We start from the raw sequence: 22,358 nt of genomic DNA on the forward strand, positions 1-22,358 counted from the left end.
TTCTGACTCCGTACCTCCTTCTAAATGTTTTTGGGAGAGGAAAAAATGGTCATAAGATCACTCATTTGTGATGAGTGGTTTGATTTAAAATATAATCAAGTCAGAAGCCAGGAAAGGCCATCGGAGTGAGGGACTGGCCTCGCCAGGTGACAAGAACCAGCCATGTGGCTGCTCTGTGACTCAATTAAGACAGAACTCACACACACAAAAGGTTGATATCACTTGGGCCATAAATGTAAATTCACTAAACTGTAGCTCCTTTGCTATTATGCTTTAAAAGTCCTTTGCACATTGACTTCCTCCATCTTTGCTGTTCTGGGCAATTCTGAGGAAAAGTCAGCATTGGATTTCAGGGACATTCTGTTCCCAGCCCAAAAACCCAATTACTGTTATGGAGGCACAGGACAGTTCCACATAACAGCTCAGACGGCTGGGAAGAAGTGACTTTAAAAATAAACAATGTTGGCCGGGTGCGGTGGCTCACGCCTGTAATCCCAGCACTTTGGGAAGCTGAGGGGGGCGGATCACCTGAGGTCAGGAGTTTGAGACGAGCCTGGCCAACATGGTGAAACCCCATCTCTACTAAAAATACAAAAATTAGCGGGGCATGGTGGCGTGCGCCTGTAATCCCGGCTACTCAGGAGGCTGAGGCAGGAGAATCACTTGAACTCGGGAAGCAGAGGTTGCAGTGAGCCAAGATTGTGCCACTGCACTCCAGCCTAGGCGACAGAGTGAGACTTCATCTCAAAAAAATAAATAAATAAATAAATAAATAAATAATAATAAATAAACAATGTCCATAGAATCCCATAGTGGTTTCTTTGGAAGATAAGCTCACTATTGCTAGAAACAGGATTCCAACCCAAAGGAGAAAGCACTAAATCATTTTTAAGAATTTTTTTCTGGACTTTAATTTCCTGCTCCTATAACTCTGTACATCTAACCCCAAGATGAAGGTTAAAACGGTGTTAAGACTTGGCAGGACCTCCATGGCTTTGAATAGCAGCACTTCTACTCAGCAATCACAGATCCAGGTAATATCTGACACAAACAACACAGTAAGCTGCAGGAAAGGTAGGCACACAGGAAAGGTGAACGTCACAAGCCAAAATGCTGGGATTTTAAAACATCTTTAAATGTAAATAATAAAAGCTTGGCCAGGCGTGGTGGCTCACACCTGTAATCCCAGTACTTTGGGAGGCCAAGGGAGTAGGATTGCTTGAGCCCAGGAGTTCAAGACCAGCCTGAGCAACATAGGGAGGCCCCATCTCGACAAAAATAAAAACATTAGCTGAGGGTGGTGGTGCATGTCTGTGCTTCCAGCTACTTGGGAGGCTAAGATGGGAGGACGGCTTGAGCCTGGGAAGTCAAGGCTGCAGTGAGCTGTGGTTGTGCCATTGCGCTCCAACCTGGGCGACAGAGCAAGGCCTTGTTTCAAAAAAAATAATAAAGGCCGGGCATGGTGGCTCACGCCTGTAATCCCAGAACTTTGGGAGGCCGAGGCAGGCAGATCACGAGGTCAGGAGATCAAGACCATCCTGGCTAACACGGTGAAACGCTGTCTCTACTAAAAATACAAAAAATTAGCTGGGCATGGTGGCGGGCACCTGTAGTCCCAGCTACTGGGGAGGCTGAGGCAGGAGAATGGCATGAACCCGTGAGGCGGAGCTTGCAGTGAGCTGAGATCGAGCCACTGCACTCCAGCCTGGGTGACGGAGTGAGACTCTGTCTCAAAAATAAAAATAAAAAAATAAAAACTCCCATGTCAAAATAGTTGGCAAAGAGCACAAGAATAGAATGATCTCCTGGTCTACCTTCCTACCAGTATCAAGTTTGGTCAAATTATTGTTAAATGACTGAATTAAAATCCTTTCATCTGCTCTTCATTCATAGCATATAACCACTGAGGCTAACCTCAACCACCTCCGTGAGCTATGCCAGCTGCCTCTGTGACCTGGCAACTGTGAACTGGCAAACTGATCCTTTCAACTGTTTTTCAGCTCAGGTTAGACTGAGTCCTTCTCAAAACTTTCTTTTAGGCTGGGCACAGTGGCTCATGCCTATAATCCCAGCACTTTGGGAGGCCAAGGCGGGAGGATCACTTGAGCCCAGGAGTTCAAAACCAGCCTGGGCAACATAATGAGACCCTATCTCTACCAAAAAAAATTTTTTTTTAATTAGCCAGGCACACTGGCATGCACCTGTGATCCCAACTACTCCAGAGGCTATGGGTAGGAGGATTGCTTAAGCCCAGGAGGTCGAGGCTGCAGTGAGCCAAGATCATGCCATTGCACTCTAGCCTGGGTGACAGAACAGGACCCTGTCTCAAAACACACACACACACACACACACACACACACACCCTTTCTTTTAAATCTTTGATTTGGAATACTCAGACTTGCTTTCTTCTTTATCTTGTCCTTCTTTACAAGCTCCTCTTCTTAATTGCCCCATAATTATGGACCTCTCCCATCTGAGCATTGACTTCTATCCTTCTCCCTTCAGAGACAGTAACTACCACTTGTAAGATGCTGACTCCCAAATCAAGTTCCAACTTCTGCTTCTCTTCCCCAAATTTCAGACTACATTTCCAACTGTCTGCTGGTCACTTGCACTTACATCTCAGTTATCTCGTAGCTGAAGTCAATCACATGCTTCTTATGTGCATAAAGAGCAACAATACTTGGCGTGTGTATGGCACTGCACGGGGTCCTTTCTCATCCACAGTTCACACACTCATCTGTCACCATGTCTTATTGGGGATCAGGCTTGTTTTCCTGCAAGGCCTGTAGTCCTCACTTCTTCCCATCACTGCACATCTCCCAGCTCACTGCATCCTCCCAGCCAGTCTGGCCCAGGACTGCTACCTCTTCCACAAGCTCCTCACACAAAACCTTTCCCTCTTTCCCTCCAAGCCCAATCCTTCAGGCATGTGTGTGAGAAATTGTGTGTGTACATATGTGTGACAGCTCATGTGAGTATGCATTGGGAGTGTGCATGACAGCGCAAGTGTGTGTGTGAGTGCATGTGAGTGTGCATTAGTGCAGGTAAATGTGAGTGTAAGAACACGTGTAAGAGCACATAAGAGCATGTGTCTACCTGCTCAGAACAATGACACAACTTTGCAGCCTTGAAACAAGTAAAGAATATTGCTTAAAAAACAACAATACAGCACTTTGGGAGGCCGAGGCGGGCGGATCACGAGGTCAGGAGATCGAGACCATCCCGGCTAAAACGGTGAAACCCCGTCTCTACTAAAAATACAAAAAATTAGCCGGGCGTAGTGGCGGGCGCCTGTAGTCCCAGCTACTTGGGAGGCTGAGGCAGGAGAATGGCGTGAACCCGGGAGGCGGAGCTTGCAGTGAGCCGAGATCCCGCCACTGCACTCCAGCCTGGGCGACAGAGCGAGACTCCGTCTCAAAAAAAAAAAAAAAAAAAAAAAAACAAAAAAACAAACAACAATAACAATCACTTCCAGAAAACAAGAAAAGAGCTTTTAGAAACTAATAATGATAGCAAAGAAAAAAAACCTCAACACTAGGATTAGAGAACATAGCCGAGGAAGTCATGTGTGGGTTTTCCCCACAAAAAGAATAAAAAGTCAGAGACACAGGATATAGGAAAAAAAAAATTAGAAAAATGAAACTAGTGATCAAATATCTGAATAACTGAAGAACTAGAGAACAAAGAAAATAAAGGAAAGCAGATAACCAGAAAGAATTTAAGGAAATTTCTTAAATTCTGATATGAAAGACATGAATCTTCAGCTTTAAAGGCCGAGCAAGTACCAGCACAAGGTTAAACTCGAGCAAACTCCTTGTTCTACTCTTTCCCCACTTCTCACTATTGCACTCGACTTGTCATATCAAAAGCACAATCAGGGTCAGGCATGGTGCCCACATCTATAATCTGAACACTTTAAGAGGCCAAGATGGGAGGACGGCTTGAACCCAGGAGTTCAAGACCAGCCTAGGCAACATATCAAGGCCTCATCTCTACTTTAGCTAGGCATGGTGGCACATGCCTATGGTCCCAGCTCCTCAGGGGACTGAGGTGAGAGGATTGCTTGAGCCCAGGAGGTCGAGGCTACAGTGAGCCATGATTGCACCACTGCAATACAGCCTGCGTGATAGAGCAAGACCAATCTTAAAAAAAAAAAAAAATTTACATCAACTTCCTAAGGGTCAAACTGTAAGCTAGAAGAAAATGGAGGAATGCAGGGAATATTTCCAACCTTAAGTTCTACAGATTCAAACTATCGATCAAACATAAAGATAGAAAAAAAGCATTTTCAGGCATGTGGCAGGGTAACAAGCTCATCCTGGTTTGTCCAGGATTTTCCTGGCTTCAGCAGCATTAGTCTCACATCCTGGGAATTCCCTCAGTCCTAGGTAAACTATTTACCCAGATATAACCTGGTTAAAAAAAAAAAAACCTAAAATTCACATGTCCCAATAATCTCTCAATCCCAGGCAAATCAAGGAAGTTGGTGACCCCTGATGAGGTCTCAAAAACTTTCTGTGTCATGGTCACTTTCTAGCGAGGTTACTAGAGGATTCTGTCAACTGAATCATGAGATTTAACAAAAAGTAAGGACTGTAGCTCACATCATCCTCAATGGTGAAACACTAGACATTTTCCCCGATGAATGGAATAAGACAAGGGTGCCTACTCTCACTATTTCTATTCAACTTTGTACTAGAAGTTCTAGCCAGGGGAGTTAAGCAAGAAAATAAATAGTATCCAGATGAGAAGAAAAAAGTAAAATTATCTGTTTGCAAATGAAAAGATCTTGTATATAGAAAATCCTAAGGAATCCACTAAAAACTATGCATTAATAAACAAATTTAGCAAAGCTGCAGGTTACAAGATCACTATACAAAAATCTATTGTATTCCTATAAACTAGCAATGAACAATCTGAAAATGAAATTAAGAAATATTCCATCTACAATAGACTCAAAAAAGAATAAAATACTTAGGAATACATGTTTTAAACTACGAAACTAATGGGAAAACATATTTGTAAATTATATATGTAATACAGGACTTGTATGTAGACTACATAAAGATGGTTAAAGAGTTTGAATAGTTATTTCTCCAAAGATATACAAATAGCCAATAACGCACATGAAAAAATACACATTTTTAGTTACTAGAAAATGCACATGGAAACTACAATGAGATCCCACTTCATGCCCACTAGAATAGCCACAATCAAAAAAAATAGATAAGTTTTGGCAAGGATGTGAAGGAATTGGAATCCCCATAGATTGCTGGTGTACAATGGTGGAACTGCTTTGGAAAACAGCCTGGCACTTCCTCAAAAGGTTAAACATACAGTTTAACAGGACCCAGCATTTATACTCCTAGGTATATACCTAAGACAAATGAACATATATGTCTACACAAAAGCTTGTATACAAATGTTCATAGCACTATTCCTCATAATAGCAATCCAACTGTCCACCAACCGATGAATAAACAAAATGAAGTATGTCCATACAATAAAATATTATTCTGTCAGTAAAAGGAATGAAGTACTGATAAATGCTACAACATGGATGAATCCTGAAAACACTCCATTAAGTGAGAAAAGCCAGACACAAAGGCCACATAATGTATTATTCCATTTATATGAAATGTCAGAATTGGCAAATCTACAAAGGCAAAGTAGACTGGTAATTGCCTAGGGCTGGGAGGTTTGAGAGAAAATGAGGAGTGAATGCTAATGCATACAAAGTTCTTTTTCAGGTAATAAAAATGTTCTGGGGCCAGACATGGTGGCTCACACCTGTAAACTCAGCACTTTGGGAGGCTGAGGCAGGTGGATCACCTGAGGTCAGAAGTTTGTGACTAGCCTGACCAACATGGTGAAACCCCGTCTCTATTAAATACAAAAAATTAGCCAGGCATGGTGAGCATGCCTGTAATTCCAGCTACTTGGGAGGCTGAGGCAGGAGAATCACTTGAACCTGGGAGGCGGAGGTTGCAGTGAGCTGAGATTGTGAAATTGCACTCCAGCCTGCGCAACAAGAGCGAAACTCTGTCTCGGGGGAAAAAAAAAGTTCTGGAATTAGATAATAGTGGTAGTTATACAACCTTGTAAATATGTGAAAAGCACTGAATTGTACATGTTAAAGTACAAATTTTAAGATACGTGAACTATATCTCAAGTTTTTAAAACCGTACATGTGTCTGGTATGGTGTGCCATGTGCACTTGGTGTGATGTGTGTGCATGCATACAAGCATGTGTATGAGCCTGGAGAAAGGTGTGCAAGGACACATCTCAGTATACTGACACTGGCTGCAGGATTAGACGGGGAGTGCTGTGTGTGTGTGTGTGTGTGTGTGTGTGTGTGTGTGTGTGTGTGGTGATGTGTATGCATACATACAAGCATGTGTATGAGCCTGGAGAAAGGTGTGCAAGGACATCTCACAGTATATTGACAATGGCTGCAGGATTATAAAGAAGAAATTCCTTTCAACAATGTTGTGTTGTTTTGGGAGTATTATTAGTTTTGGAGTTTTAAAAATTTATTCCTAAGTATTTTTTTATATATATTCTATTGTAGATGGATTTTTCTTAATTTTTTCTTTTTTTTTTTTTTGAGACAGGGCCTCACTTGGTTGCCCAGGCTGAGTGCAGTGGCACGATCATGGCCCACTGTAGCCTTGACCTACAGGGCTCAAGCAATTCTCCCATCTCGGCCCCCTGAATAGCTGGGACTATAGGCATGCACCACCATGCCTGGCTAATTTTTCAAGACGGGATCTCACTATGTTGCCCAGGCTGGTCTGGAACTCCTGGGCTCATGCAATCCTTCTGCCTCGGCCTCTTGAAGTGTTGGGATTACAGGAATAAGCCACCATGCCTAGACCTGTGGTCATGTATTTTCTAATATTATAATTGTCTAATAAAGAACTAGCAAATATAATTGTTTTAATCAGAAGAAAATTGAACAAGGTAATAATAGTGATAGAACTGGATAATTCTATTTTCCAAATTTTCCAAATTACTTTTGTAATTAATTAAACAACTGCTTTCCTAACTGTCACACATCTATAACATATGGTGGAGAAGAAGATACCATTGCTAAAAGCAACACAAACATTAACTGTATGGCTACTAATGGATCTGAGGACACATGAGATTTGTATATAATTCTTGAGGGCAACTTTCTGTAACTGAATTTAATGACAGAAAAAAGGAAGCCACCAACAATAGAATGATATGCTTCCTTTTAACAGGAAAATTTAACGAGAACAAAACTGATCATACTCTTCAAGTTAATATGGAGTTTTAACATAATATCAATTAAAGTCCCCAAGTGGTATAATACAAAACTTGATCAAGTCACAGTGGAATTCATTTTAAAGAAATCAAACAATATTAAAGAACAGTCTTGAGCCCTTTAGTAGACAATGGAATGGTATATTTAGCCTACAACATTAAAGCAGAGAGAAATTTCTAAAATCTAACATAAAGAAAATCACTGAAGGCAGTATCGATGTGGTAAAATCCCCACACTAAATTCAGTGAATCAACTGATAGAAGAAAAGCAGTGAATAAGAAAATGTGAGGATTTGTAAAACTACAGAAGGATAATATCCAGACTCCCATCAATGAGTAAGTGGAGTTAATGAGTTAACAAAGTAGGAAATAACAACAGTAAATCACTGTGTAGAAAATGTAATCTTTCTATAAATAAAGAAATGCAAAGTAAACTATAAGCTATCATCATAACTGTTTAACTAAAATTTTAAAACATATTTCTTACCTGGTATGACTAAGTACGGCCTGCCCTAGGAAGGAAAGCATATAAGGCCATTATGAACATGCTCTACTGCATTAGCAGGAAGTGGGCAGCTACCACAAGACTCCAAATAGTATGCCAGACTCTACCACGTGCCCTTTTTAAAAACCCACCAGCATATATAATACTTACCAACACCAAAACTAGACTAACCAAGAAAAAAAAAATTTACCACTGACTACATCTGGGGTTTTAAGCCACCTGAGGTTCTAAACCTATTTATGTCACTATTTCCCCCTCAAAAAAATAAACAGCTATCTCAAAAACGTAATATGAAGATATGAATGAAATTAAGATGAAAAGGATAGGATGCTTTAATTTGGGGGGAAAGAAAGAGAAAACAAAAGTTTAAACCCTGGATCCAGTACTAACTCTAACCTATACTAAATTTCACAAATACTATAAAACATTACTCCAAATGAATTAACTCTACACTAGTCAACACTTGGCAAAAACGCTTTTTTGCAAAATCTGCATTAAAGGATTTTAGTTTTCCTCCATTGGAAAATCTTTCATTATTTTTAAAAATGTATTTGAACGGTGTGATAATTCTTTTCTCCTACCACATATCCTAGGTAGTCCTAGACAACAGGCCTAAAAACCCGACGGGTTCAACTCTGCTTATCTCAAAACGCTCCTTCAAGACTATACCCCTCCCAAGGGGATTCTCTGGACACAACTCAAATGCTTTCTTCTATCTCCTTGCCTTCCAGGAATCCCTTCCTCCCTTCTCCTGGCTTCTTCGGCCCTGCACCCATGAAGGCCAGCACAGGCATCACCTTCTCCAGGAAGTATTTCTGACATTCCAGAAAATGGGTCTGGACCCTTCCTCTGCATTCATCACATGGGATTGCAACAGTTTGTCCAAGCTCCCCCTAAACTGTGAGCCCCTTGAGCATCTCCCACTCTATATGTCTGACTGCTAGAACAGAGCCTGAAACATCATAGAAGGTATGCCACATATACATGGGATGGGAGGATAGAAGGGCAAGCTGCATATGAAGAGAAGTCTTCTCTTAAAATCAGTGTGATCTGCAACAGGAAAAGGCTGTCTCCCTGTGGGGGGAGGCACACTCATAAAGACTAAATCATTTCCTGCCTGTTAGGGATGCTATGGGAAGGACAGAAAAGCTACCATGATTGAGTCAGCCGCAGACACATGGTACAATCTGACCTATACCATTGAAAGTGAAGGAGCCTTTGAAGAAGCACCAAAGAGAGAGAGAAAGGAGTCTTTCACCAGCCATGTGACATGCAGAATGGCCACACCTCAGCCATAATGGTTGAAAGGGGGAGGAAACAAAGAAACAGAAAGTTTGGGATCCGGGCCCTAACCCAGACTGTGTGAAAGCTCATTTTCTCAAATGCCAGAAATGCTTCCTAGAGAAGGTGGTGCCTGTGCTGGCCTTCATGGGTGCAGGGCCACAGAAGCCAAGGAGAAGGGAGGAAGGGGTCCTGGAAGGCAAGGAGGTGGACCGTGTAAAAGCTGTCCACAGTTGGGATGGACACAGTTGGGATGGGACAGTGTTCAAGTGCCTGGCTCCGTGGTAAATAAAATCAGGGCTCACATGATTCAGGTGCATAGGCAGGTGGTCCCTGAACCCAGGTAGTCTCCCCAAGAGATGTTCTGAGGCAGTCCACAAATATAGCACATGCAAAGCATATTATCAAACTCAGAGGACTTCCACTGCTCTGAGATAGGAATTATCAGGGACATGTACACACACACTCTCTCTCTCTCTCTCATATATACACACATACAGAAAGAGAAAAAGAAATGCGTATTACCTCTCTATCTTTAAGAATATTTAAGGTAACTTTAGTCAAGGAGCTGGGTACATTTTGCTTACAAACAACATTTCATGAATTGCTATGAAATTTTATAGAAGCCTAATTTCCAGGGCTCGAGTTACAGTTACTGAACAAATGTAACCATAATGTGTGCCACTAGCATCTCAACCACATAATTACCCAGAAAAAATTAACAGATACATAACTTATACTCTAAAATCCCCTAATGACCACATGTTCAGAAAATGTTCCTAAATAGGAAAACACTGACCAATATTATTAGCTTAACTTTTCAGGGAATAAAGACATCATAAAGCAGATTATTCCAACTTTTCAAATATGAATGAAAACAGAAAACTCCTACTTGATCAGCAGCTCTCAAAGGGAGGGTAGGCCCTGCCTCCTGGGAGTTTGGGAGTGTGTGGGCAGCGTTAGGTGTCCTTGGGGCAGTCAATGGGCACTGTCCCCTGCCCTGCATTACCTTCACACATCCCATTAGACATGCAGGTAGACAGAAGCTGTTTAACATTCTTCTGAGCCTGTAACCTAACTCAATTTTAGATAAAAACCCAAATAATTTTTTGCATGCTTTTATTATATCATGAATTTTCCAGGAATACAACATGTCTGATTCTGGCCTTTACTAAAATGTAATTGCCTTTTTGAAAATACTCATCACCAAAGCAACACTGCCTGTGTATTCTGGGTTACCAATCAAGACACAACCAGGCTGTGTGTGTGTGTGTGTGTGTGTGTGTGTGTGTGTGTGTGTGTGTATACACAAAGATACAAAAGATTTATAGTATCTTTTGCATTGTATGAGTGCCCATGGCCCTCATGAGATAGCTGCTGGCACTGAATATATGACACTAAGCGAAGGCTACACATGCAGCCTGGGTGTGTCTTGACCCCGATAGGGTCAGGAGGCAGAGATGCCCAGAAACCCTAGCCCGCTCTAGTTTGTCTTTGTGAGTATCAAGGGACAATGTGGTTAGGGTATAACAATGGAATGACCTCCTGCCCCTCCCCAAAAACACATATGTAACTCCACTCACTTGAACCTAAGTGGCATTGAACCCAGAGAGAAGGAGAGTTGGACACTTGGTTTGGGAGGACAAGCTGGTGACACCCACAGAGGGCACGGAGCCTGCCATCCCTGAGAACTAGCAGCTGACATAGTCCATGCCCAGCCAAGCCACCAACAATGTCTAGAGACCAACTTTGGAAAACTGATGCAGCATCCAGACAGGCTAACAGGAACCTCAAATTTAAAAGTTAATACACAGCTGAGTATCCCCAAACCCTGAGAAAAGGGCAACAAATTCTACACCTAAAGAAGTGATGCTGCAGAACACAGAGTTAGTAAAGACACAAGACTTAAAAACAGGCACAATCAACAGCCTCCAAGTGGTGTGAGAGGATATTACACTCATAAGAATCAACCAGCAATCTTAAACATTAAAAACTGGAATCACTAAATTAAAATAAATAAATAAAAGGTGAGCCCAAGAACAATTGTTATCTCTGGGAGAATACTGGGCTTGAGGGATGATCAAAGGGGTCTTGAGTTTTATCTATTTACAAAAGGAATGTATTTTTACTAAATAAAAAAAAAATCAACGGACATTTTCAAAGAAATATATTTTCTGGATGAAATGGGAATTTAGTACTTCTACAACTTCACAAGCAGTATGAGGGACCAAAAGAATCATTTCCTGGCCGGGCACAGTGGCTCACGCCTGTGATCCCAGCACTTTGGGAGGCTGCGGCAGGTGGATCATCTGAGGTTAGGAGTTCGAGACCAGCCTGACCAATATGGTGAAACCCCGTCTCTACTAAAAATACAAAAATTAGCCAGGCGTGGTGGTGCACGCCTGTAGTCCCAGCTACTTGGGAGGCTGAGACAGGAGAATTGCTTGAACCCGAGAGGAAGAGGTTGCAGTGAGCCAAGATCATGCCACTGCACTCCAGCCTGGGTTAAAGAGCAAGACCCCATCTCAAAAAAAAAAAAAAAAGAAAAAGAAAACGAAGCAAGAATCGTTTCCCAAATTAACTTCCTCCAAATAACAGTCCCTCAAAGTGACAGCAGGCCAACTAGAAAGAAAAAGAGCGCCACAGTCCCATTAATTTGAGTTAAATTACGTTTTTTTCATTTCACGGCCTCTGGGTTAGAACACAATATAGCACAGACAAATCATACACCCATGTCTCAGAAAACATCAGGCAGAGAAATGTACCTTGACTAGATCAACAATTTTTTTTTTTTGGTGGAGTCTTGCTGTGTCACCCAGTGCAATGGCACAATCTCGGCTCATTGCAACCTCCACCTCTCAGACTCAAGCAATCCTCCCACCTCAGCCTCCTGAGTAACTGGGATTACAGGCATGTACCACCAAACCCAGCTAATTTTTGTATTTTTAGTAGAGACAGGGTTTCACCACATTGGCCAGGCTGGTCTCGAGCTCTTGGCCTCAAGTAATCTGCCCGCCTTGGCCTCCCAAAGGGCTAGGATTACAGGTGTGAGACACCATGCCCGGCCCACCAAATCTTTACATAAGCTTCAATTTTTTCTTATTCTATGGACCAATACCCTTTTAGAAGGAGCGTTATCCCCATTCCAGCTTTTAGATTAAGACACCCAACAATACTGGCATTTAGTACAGAATCTCAACCCTCTTTTCCTTATTCTAAATTCCCTCCTCTTACAGTGCCAAAAACAATAACCCACATCCATCCCAGGGGCCGAGCCGAGGGCAGGGCTCAGGGAAGTGGCAGGGGAGCAGAAGGGCCCAAACGAAGGTGTAAACAGAAGCTGACACATGTGCTCTGCTCCACCTCAGCAGCACCAGTTCAAACACCTATGCTTTGCTCTCCGCCCTGTGCCCTAGACCCCACACGAGCATGGGACATCCCCAGGACATTTCCAGAGAGCATTTTAAATTTCCTTAATCTTAATGTTTTTTACATGTATTTTCTAATTTTCCTCTATATTACTATAAAGAAACTTTTAGTGATTTTAAAAATCTCACAGTCATCTCACATCATTCTCCCGTAATTCCACCAGAAATGAGGCTGAGAGAATACAGACAGCCACAGCACAGTTCACACAGTAAAACATCAACACCTTAAGGCCTGTCCACATGAAGTGGGAAACTTCTGAACAGCCGTTAGAGAACACAGCAGACACCCACTGAGACTGATGTGGATGAGCAGTGTATACAGCCACTATCATCTGTGGAAAGGTTAAAACTGAAAAAGTAGAGAATGTGGGACATTAATCGTGGAGGCCATGGGCACAGGGAGAACTCTCTGCACTTCCTGCTCAATTTTGCTGTGAACCTAAAGTCAGTCTAAAAATAAACTGTATTAACCAAAAAAGAAAAAAGTAAGAAGACAGGCATAGATAAGTATGCTTGTATTTTCATAGACTATCTCCTGACCGGTACACCAGACACTGGTAACAGCAGCCACTTAGGGTAGAGTGGATAAACACAGTCACCTCACTGTGTAGAGCAGAACAGAGCCACAGACAGGGCCGTGAGTGAGAAGACCACCAAAGTTCTACTATACACCCCACCGTACTTCTCAAATTGTTTTTGATATATGCATACAGCATTTTTCAAAACACCAGTTAAAAAAAATAAAGAAAAACTTTTACGGAAAAATAGGAAGTTCCAGGGTAAAAGGGGTGCAAGAGAGTCAAATCTAAATAAAAGCTAGAGCAGCAAAATCACAGATGCTTGGCCCCAAAGATACAAAGCTGACCTCGTGAATGCATACTTTTGGGAAAGAAATGACCAGTGAACCCAGGACCATGGAAGCCTGGGTGGCACAGCCACCCAACATGAGACATCTCAGTGGTATAAGCCAGATGCTTGCTGCCAGGAGCCAGCACTGCACCAATGTAAAGCTCACAATGGCCCCTAGAAGCAGGGACAGCCACCCAGGGCCAACTTGAGAAGGAAAAAAGCTAAAAAACAAGGAAAAAGTTGAAGAATCCTCATCCCATCCCCTGAGCCACCCTAAATTGGAAAATACTCAGCAGACACAAAAAGCCTCTCAAGAGGACACTGCCAACCCACTCGGGCAAGGGATCATACCCATATGCCCTGAACACTTCTGGGGCCACCATGCCTGGTTTCCTTTCTTACTCAGAACTCAGGGAGGTATGTACATGGGGTTTATTGCTTGTTTTCCTTGGAGAGAGAAACAGTTTTCTGTTTTTCTTACTTAAGACCCAGTACAGTCAGCAGGGCCCCAAAGGCCTCAGGAAGGAGGCTGCTAGTCACCACACCAATCTGTGAAGTGCTCATCCTGCCAGCCACTCTGGTACCAGGCTCAGCCATGTGGTTCTGGGCTCAGCCATGCTGCCTTCAAAAATTAGGGGAAACAAAAGGTCTGGAAGTTTGTTCTCCTAGGAGAACTTGAGCATCCAAAGTGACATTTCTCCTGCTTTATTCAGCTTTTCACTAGGGACACTTGGATAATGCTAAGTGTTTTCTAGGTCACAGCTAGTCCTACCTACCCACTTATTGGGAAGCTCTAGCAGCAGCAGAATAGAAAGCTCTGGGTGAGCCTGCAAAGCAGGAGGCATGCTAGTGGGCAGGAGGGAGAAAGTGTGCAAACACCCCCGCTTCCCATGAATCACTAGGTCACAAAGCCCCACCGGGTGAGGGAACGTGTGACCCACTCAGACTGCTGTTTCAGACTCTGCTATGAGGGTCATGGGAAGAGAGCACTGGCCCTCCTTGGGAGAAGATTCTGGTCCAAATCTATGGTGTGGCTCAGCTATCAGCAGTGAAGATTGAGGGGCACTGACTGGTTTCTTTCCCCACATTCACCCTCACCAGCCCCCCGTGGTGAAGAAGGTTGGGTGTCACTTCCTCCAACCTCTGCAGGGCAGAGTGTGCTGCTATTACAGGGCCTGCTGAACCAGCATCTCACCCCTACTGAAGAATGGGTCAATAAAGATAGAAAAGTTATGACAGAAAAGGAGGGAAGGAAGGAGAGTCCCTTCCAATGGTCCTCACAATAATACCACCCACAGAGATCGGTGTGAAATTTTGCTTTCAGAAGTAGAATGTGCCCAGACAGAATCAGAACTGCTCATTTAACATGGGAACGGCGAAGCGCCCACTCCAAGACTTCTGCTAGTGGGTGGCCAGAAAGAAGCCATCCTCTCTCCCTTCCTGACTCAAATTGTACAACTGCTCAAAGGAAGAAAAAGAAGCCAGAGGTTCCTCTGCATCAGCCAGAGGCCAATCACCCTGATCCAGGCTGCCAAGTTAGAACCCAAGCTCCCAGATCAAGGGACAAGTCAGAGGTGGAGCTCTTTGATCAAGGGGCAGGTCAGAGATCAAGGTCCCCATTGAGGCCCGGCAGGGACGAGGCAAAAGACTGGGGCAGGCTGGCAATCTTAAACCCCATTTGCCCCAAGCCCCTAAAAAAAAAAAGTATTCCATAAATACTTGCTGAATCCAAGAACCAAACCTAGTACTTAGCTTATACTGAAAGCTTTAATTATACTATCTCATTTAATCCTTACAACAGCCCTTTAATTGTTATCACCCTATTGTATATAAGAAAAAAACTAAGACCTCAGTAAAAAAAAAAAAAAGAAAAGAAAAGGCTCTCTTCCTCGGCGCTGCCTACGGAGGTGGCAGCCATCTCCTCCTCGGCATCATGGCCGCCCTCAGACCCCTTGTGAAGCCCAAGATCGTCAAAAAGAGAACCAAGAAGTTCATCCAGCACCAGTCAGACCAATATGTCAAAATTAAGCGTAACTGGCGGAAACCCAGAGGCACTGACAACAGGGTTCGTAGAAGATTCAAGGGCCAGATCTTGATGCCCAACATTGGTTATGGGAGCAACAAAAAAACAAAGCACATGCTGCCCAGTGGCTTCCGGAAGTTCCTGGTCCACAACATCAAGGAGCTGGAAGTGCTGCTGATGTGCAACAAATCTTACTGTGCCGAGATCGCTCACAATGTTTCCTCCAAGAACCGCAAAGCCATCGTGGAAACAGCTGCCCAACTGGCCATCAGAGTCACCAACCCCAATGCCAGGCTGCGCAGCGAAGAAAATGAGTAGACAGCTCGTGTGCACGTTTTCTGTTTAAATAAATGTAAAAACTGCAAAAAAAAAAAAAAAAAAAAAGAAAAGAAAACTAAGGCCCAGGGAGACGAAAGAATTTGTTTGTTCAATGCCAGACAGCTTATCAGTGTCAGAGCTAGCAACTGAATGCCCGGTCTCTAGACTCCAAGATTCATACTCTTATTCCATAACATAATTTTTTTAAAAGGGGGAAAAAGACTAGAATCAGGAAGTAAAAAGATAAATGTAACAGTTTCAGAGATTAAAGGAGCAAACCACAAGGCAAGAGACAGGTATCCTCCTTGCTCATCCACTGGGAGAGTCTAGAAGCCTGACACCACAGCACCAACTAACACAGCAGGCCCAGCTCTTGGCTTGTAATCTCAATCTCTTATCAAAACCCAAGGACTTCTTGGAGAAAGGGTCCATTCCACAGCCAGGGCAGGAGAAGAATTCAAACCTGGAACTTCCTGTAGTGTACAAGAAAATAAAGAAGTGCTCGAAAAATGATGCAAACATGTTAACAGGAAAAGTCAACTGCAAGAGGCCACTTGAGCAATTAAACAATAGTAATGGACCATAACCTATGGAATAACTATCCATGAATACACACTGACATACACCAAGAACTAATAAATAAGTAGAGGAGAAAGAAAAGCTCTTCCTTACAGCATGTGAAACTTACAGTCCTTACAGTCCATTTGTTTTGGACTGAGCTCCTGCATAAGGCCCCAGCACACCAGACCAAACCAGAATAGAGACAATCAAAATGAACTTTAAAAAGGGCCAGTTTTCAAACAAACAAACCAAAAAAAAAAAAAAAAAAAAAAAAAACAGGAGATTTCAGTCAACTTGAGTCAGCAGGTAAGGAAGACCCCTTACCTGTTTCAACCCTATGAGGAAGTGACTTTGAAACGACCCATCTGCTTTTTGTTCTCTGTGTCTGCTTTTCTCAGCCCTTTTCTGCCTATAAAACCTACCTCCTTTGGTCAGCTCATGGGAATACTCATTCTATTTTACAGAATGAGATGTTGCCCAATTCTAGAAACACAAATGCCAACTAGATCTTTAAACTAAATTTGTTATAATTTTGTCTTTTGACAAGTATAATTCTAAATAATAAATGGAGAGAGAATGATAAAAATAGAAAATCATTTAGCAAACAGTACAGTAATAATTGTTTCAGGCAAGAATAATCAGTGGTTGCTAAGATTAATGGTAAAGGTATGCTGAGAAACAAGATATTTATCTAGTCTCAAAGTTATCTCCCCACAAGATACTTATTAATTACAAAAAGGAACACAGTAACTCCACAGTGGAAGAAATGTGCAGCCATCCATTCAGCCAAATGATCACAGTTATGATCACAATTAACATCAGAAGGAATGGGACAAATCCTGGCATGACACACTAAGGGCCCACCATGGTATTCTTCTGTGGCATTCTTGCCAAAAACATATAACACGAATACAGTCATAAGGAAGCATCAGACAAAACTATAATGAGGGACATTCCACGAAAAAAAAAAATGGCAATGAAGGAAAAAAAAAAGGACCAGTTCTCTTTAACTGTCAAGGTCATGAAAAGACTAAGAAACTGTCACTGTCCCAGATAAAGGAGACTGAAGAGAGACACAACCACGAATACAATGACAATAACAAATTGAACCCTGAGCCAAGGATAAAGGACATGATTCAACAGGCAGAATTTAAACAAGGTCTACAGATGAGCTAATGGTAATCCCTCATTATAAAAGACTCTAACATTTGGTGAAGCTGGGTGAAGAGCATATGTGAGAATTCTTCGCATGACTTCTGCAATTTTTTTTGGTAGATATGAATTATCTAAAATTCAAAGATTTTTTTAAAAGACCAAAAAATAAACAGACATTAACAGTTATATGAGAGAGAGAATATGCTAGTCTTTGGTTAGCTAAGAACACTGACTCCATACCACAGCAGCCAGCAGCCAGACCACAGATCTGACCCTCACTCTTCAGAATCCCACAGCTGCTATTTTAAAGACCAGATAACAGGCTCCAAATCTGATTTCTCAGCTCACAGAACTCACAGCCAAGTCATTTGAGATGACTTATTCCAGAGGGTCTCAAAGCAAATCCTATAGGACAGAGCTGCCTACACGCCCAGGCTCGGTTTAAGGTCCCCCCAATGTTAGCCTCTCACTCAGATGCTGCTTCCACAGCAAATTCCTTGGCTTAATTAAAGGAGATACAAAAACTCAGGTCACTCCAACTACCTCACAGCGTGGCTCAGAGAGCACAAGGCCTGCGTGGACCGGGCTCTGCATAGTCCTGGGCATCTGTAACTCAGGGGCTGCAAGGGAAGCAACCCATGAGGGAAGGGAAAGAAGGGCAAGAGCACAAACAACAAAACCAGAAGGGGCAGCTGACAGCCTGACGGCTCAGCACAATGTCTGGAAGACAGAGAAGTGGCCTCAGGACTCTACTAGCAAGTTTAACTTTTAACTATTTTTATTTATCTTTACTTTGACCAAACCAAAACAAGAGTTCAAACTACTACCAAGTTCAAAGTACAACTCTGAGTTGCCCTAAGAAGACAGAGAACATACACAAATGTGAAAATATGAGAAAAACTAAATGTTACTGAAGAGTGGCATTCATGAGATATGTTAAAATTCAAAGGTTGATCATCTTCAATGTGACTTTTAACTTCAATCATTATTTGTTCAGCTGTTTACTGAGTACCAACTACGTGCCAGGCAGTAGAATCCACAATGAACAAAGTTCCTGCCTTGCATGGTGACGACAAATGGTACCCAACAAGTAGATATGCAGTTGTCCCTTGGTATTCACAGAGTGCTGGTTCCAAGAACCCTAAGGATACCAAAATCCAACGATGCTCAAGTCCCTGATATCCTGATATCAAATGGTATAGTATTTGCATATGCACGTCCTCATGTATACTTTAAATCATCTTTAGCTTTATAATAGTTAATACAATGAAAATGCTATGTAAATAGTTGTTAAATATTTTTTATTTGTATTATCTTTATTGTTGTATTGTTATTTTTTATGGTTTTGGCTTTTTTAGTATTTTCAATCCAAGGTTGGTTGGATCTGCAGATGTGGAACCGAAGGATACAGAGGGCCAACTGTACATGGTAACAACCAGCTCAGGGCTAGGTGATCTAGGTCAGTCCCACTCCCCTCCTCCTGACTTCTCTGCTGACAGAATGAGCAGGGCAAGCATGAGTGGCCACAAGAAAAGACACACAAAGGACAGTTTGCACAGGAAAGGCACATAGAGGTTTTTTGTAAACACATAGGAGTGTGTAAACACATAGAAGTGTTTACAGCCACCACTCATAGGATAGAGAACACAGAATCACCTACTCAGGGACACACTGAGGCCACTACAGAGTAGAAGTGACACACAGACCTTAGATATACCTCTTAGAAGCAAGGGGTGACAAAGACTCACAAAATGACACAGGATTTTAGGTGCTCATCCGGACTCCATGAACAAACCAGAGATGAAGCAACAGGTCTAATCGAGGGGTTACTGCACCGGTCACAAGGGCTCCTGGAATGCTCTCAGGTTTGTCTCCTCCATCCACCCTCACTGCCTTGGTGATCTTACCCAGTCTATGGTTAAATGCATCTAAATGCTAATGTTTTCCAAATGCCCATCCCAGTCCCTACTCTTCTCAGAACTCCAGACTCGTGTGTCTATTGCCTAATTAGTAATGCCACCTCAACCACTGGTCAGCTTCTCAGATTGATGGAAGCCGTGACCAACCCCAATCAACCCTGAGAAACTTCCCCTCCAGTGCTTTAGTGGCTGCCAGTTCCATCCTTCCAGTTGCTCAGCAACAAATTTTGAGGAGGAGGAAAAAAATACAATTACATTTAGAATTCTAAATGTGACAAATACATAAATGATGTATTACTAAATATAGTTGTTACTAAAATACTACTATAAATAAGAAATAGTCTGCACTCCTAGAAAATCCAAGAAAATCAACTGAGAAACTATTAGAAACCAGTAAGAGAATTCGATATTGGTGTATAGGACTTACTGAATAAAAAGATTAAAATTCTACAAAAGAACATAAAGCAAGACTTGAGTAAATAAGACATAACCTTTTCTTAGACCAAAAGACTCAATAATGTAAAGATGTCAATTCTCCCTAATCCAAAACATAAATTTAATGTATTCTCAATGAATATTTCAACAGAATTTTCATACACAAAAATTAATTTACGGGAATATTTGAGAAAAGTCTGGGGGTAAAAAGATTAAACACTAGTTCTACCAAGTGCTAAAATGTATTATAAAGCTATGAAACAAAATAGCGTTGTGCTAACAAACAAAATGAACAAATGGTTTAGTATTTGTAGATACAAAGAATGGAAAAAAATACAGAAACATATACAAAGTTAAATCCAAGATATTTCAAAAGTGAACGACATTTCAAAGAAAACCAAAGAAGAAAAGGTAACAGTAGCCCAGAAAGGAGTTAGGGACTCTGGCTAACACCTAGGATGGGGTCGGGTACTCTGAGACAACCTAGCAACCTAGCAGTGAGAGAACAGACACAAACTCCCTGAGGCCAATTTAGCAACATCCATCAAAATTACAAACGCCATACCCTTTGACCCAGTAATTCCTGTTCTGGGAATTCATTTAGCTGATATTCATACACATGTTCCAAGAGACACTTAAACGCATATTCACTGCAACATCATTTGTGATGCTGGCACACGGGAAACAACTTAAGTACACACCCCTTGGGGACTCATTAAATAATAAGATCTACACAGCAGAATACTACATGGCAGTTAGTAAACATCTTGGCCACACATCAGAGTCACCTGGAAAGTTTCTGAAAATCCAGACATGACACAGAAGAGGCCACACTCAGACCAATTAAATCAGATCTCTAGAGCAAGGACCCAAGCATTTTATTTTATTTTATGTTTTATGGACCAAACAATATGAACATCAGCATTTTAACGTAGCGGAGAATCTCAGGGCAAACCACCCAAAGGCAAACTAGGTTCCACTGCTCAACAACATGAGCCTGGGTCAGTTTCCTAAACTACAAAATGGGAAGGCAACAGAACGGCCTCAAAGAGTTGTGAGGACAGTGAAAAACCTATGTGTACACTAAGGAGAAGCTACCTGGCAACAGGAAGTATTCAGTCAGTGTCAGCTGCTTATCTAGTGCAAGGGTTCACAGCACATTCCAGGGATATGACAAAGGCAACATTCACTGATGTGCTTTTGTCTGTGCATGTGTACTATATATAGTAGGGAAAATATATACATACATATAAAATATTAAAATTTTGCAAAAGATGATATTGAACAACAGTCATCTTTAGGAAGAACCTGCTTCTATTACATACTCTCCTAACTTTCAAAAATGTTACCCTAAATCCAACTCCAACTTATAGGAAATAGGACAAAGGACATGCTAAACCACATGTGGGTAATAATCAGCAAAATCCAGCTAGTGGGAAATACAAACAAACAACTTGATTTACTTTACCAAATAAATTTTGAGGGAAAAAAAAGAGAGAAAAATGGAGGGTTGACTATGAGGCATTGGTGTTTGGAGCCTTATTAGTAGCCTGATTCAAACAAAACTTTCTTTTAATTAGGACACTATAAGAAAACTGGAAGTTTAAACAGTGGCTGAAAATATTTACAGATGAAATGATACAAGGCAGAATTTGTTTCAAAATAAACCAGGAGGGAGAAAAGCAGGCTGCTGTTGGAACTGGGCAATGAGCACATGAGGAGTCATGTTCTTCTGTCTACTGTCTTTTGTATTTCAAATTCTACCTAATAAACATTTTGTGAAGTACATATATTACCTTTCCAACATCAAAAAAAAAAAAAACCAAGCTAGCATAAAAAGAAGAACTATTATTATAGAAAAATATTCAAATAGAAGTTGGTTATTTTAAAAGAAATTGGCTAGTTTTTAAAAAGTATCTCTCAGATAGTAGGGTAATTAGTTGCTTTTTTCTAACACATCAATGCAAATAAATCCTCAGTTAGTCCACGAGGTAGTTCTGCTTCAATTCCCAATAACTCTCTGGCCCTACCTTCTAAATGTATGATTTTAAGCAAAGCACTTGACCATTGTACATCTCAATTTCTTCACCTGTAAAAAGGAAGCAGATCACTGGTTCTCAATTTTTGGAAATACACATTTTTCCAGGGGAAAAACTCCACAGATGATTCTAACACTCCTCTTCCTCCTCCCTGACCACATGCTCCCTGAACCCATCCAACTCTGAAAACGTTAAGATACCAGGTTATTTTCTGATATAACTTCAATATCCAGCAAACTCAACACTGCTTTCTAAAAATGAAGCATATAACCTTCACTGCAAAATAAAAATAAACTGCAAAATAAAAAATAAAAATGCAATGTTTCTTGTGAGAATTTTTTAAAAGTCCTCCTAACAACTTAAATCAGGTTTTCCTGACTTGTGATTTAAGTCAAATCGCTTGGAGGCTTCTTATGCCTGAGCTTTCTTAAAGAAGGTGCAGTTTCAGGGTGAATCACTGGAAAGGTGAAATAGCAGCTATGACACAAGATGACACTGAGCCAGGTGGCCTAAGGCTCAATCCCCAGGTGGGGTCCACAGATAGCTGAATC

At 41.7% G+C, this 22,358-nt stretch overlaps 1 protein-coding gene and 1 pseudogene across 4 annotated transcripts in view; one reads left to right on the top strand and one right to left on the bottom strand.

The window, feature by feature from the left end:
• NUDCD3 (NudC domain containing 3) overlaps positions 1–22,358 on the bottom strand; it is a 111,540-nt gene that overhangs the window by 73,488 nt on the left and 15,694 nt on the right. The window lies entirely within an intron of this gene.
• On the top strand, positions 15,238–15,743 carry RPL32P18 (ribosomal protein L32 pseudogene 18; annotated as a pseudogene).

The sequence above is a fragment of the Homo sapiens genome, chromosome 7, assembly GCF_000001405.40.
Source record: "Homo sapiens chromosome 7, GRCh38.p14 Primary Assembly".
Lineage (NCBI taxonomy): Eukaryota > Metazoa > Chordata > Mammalia > Primates > Hominidae > Homo > Homo sapiens.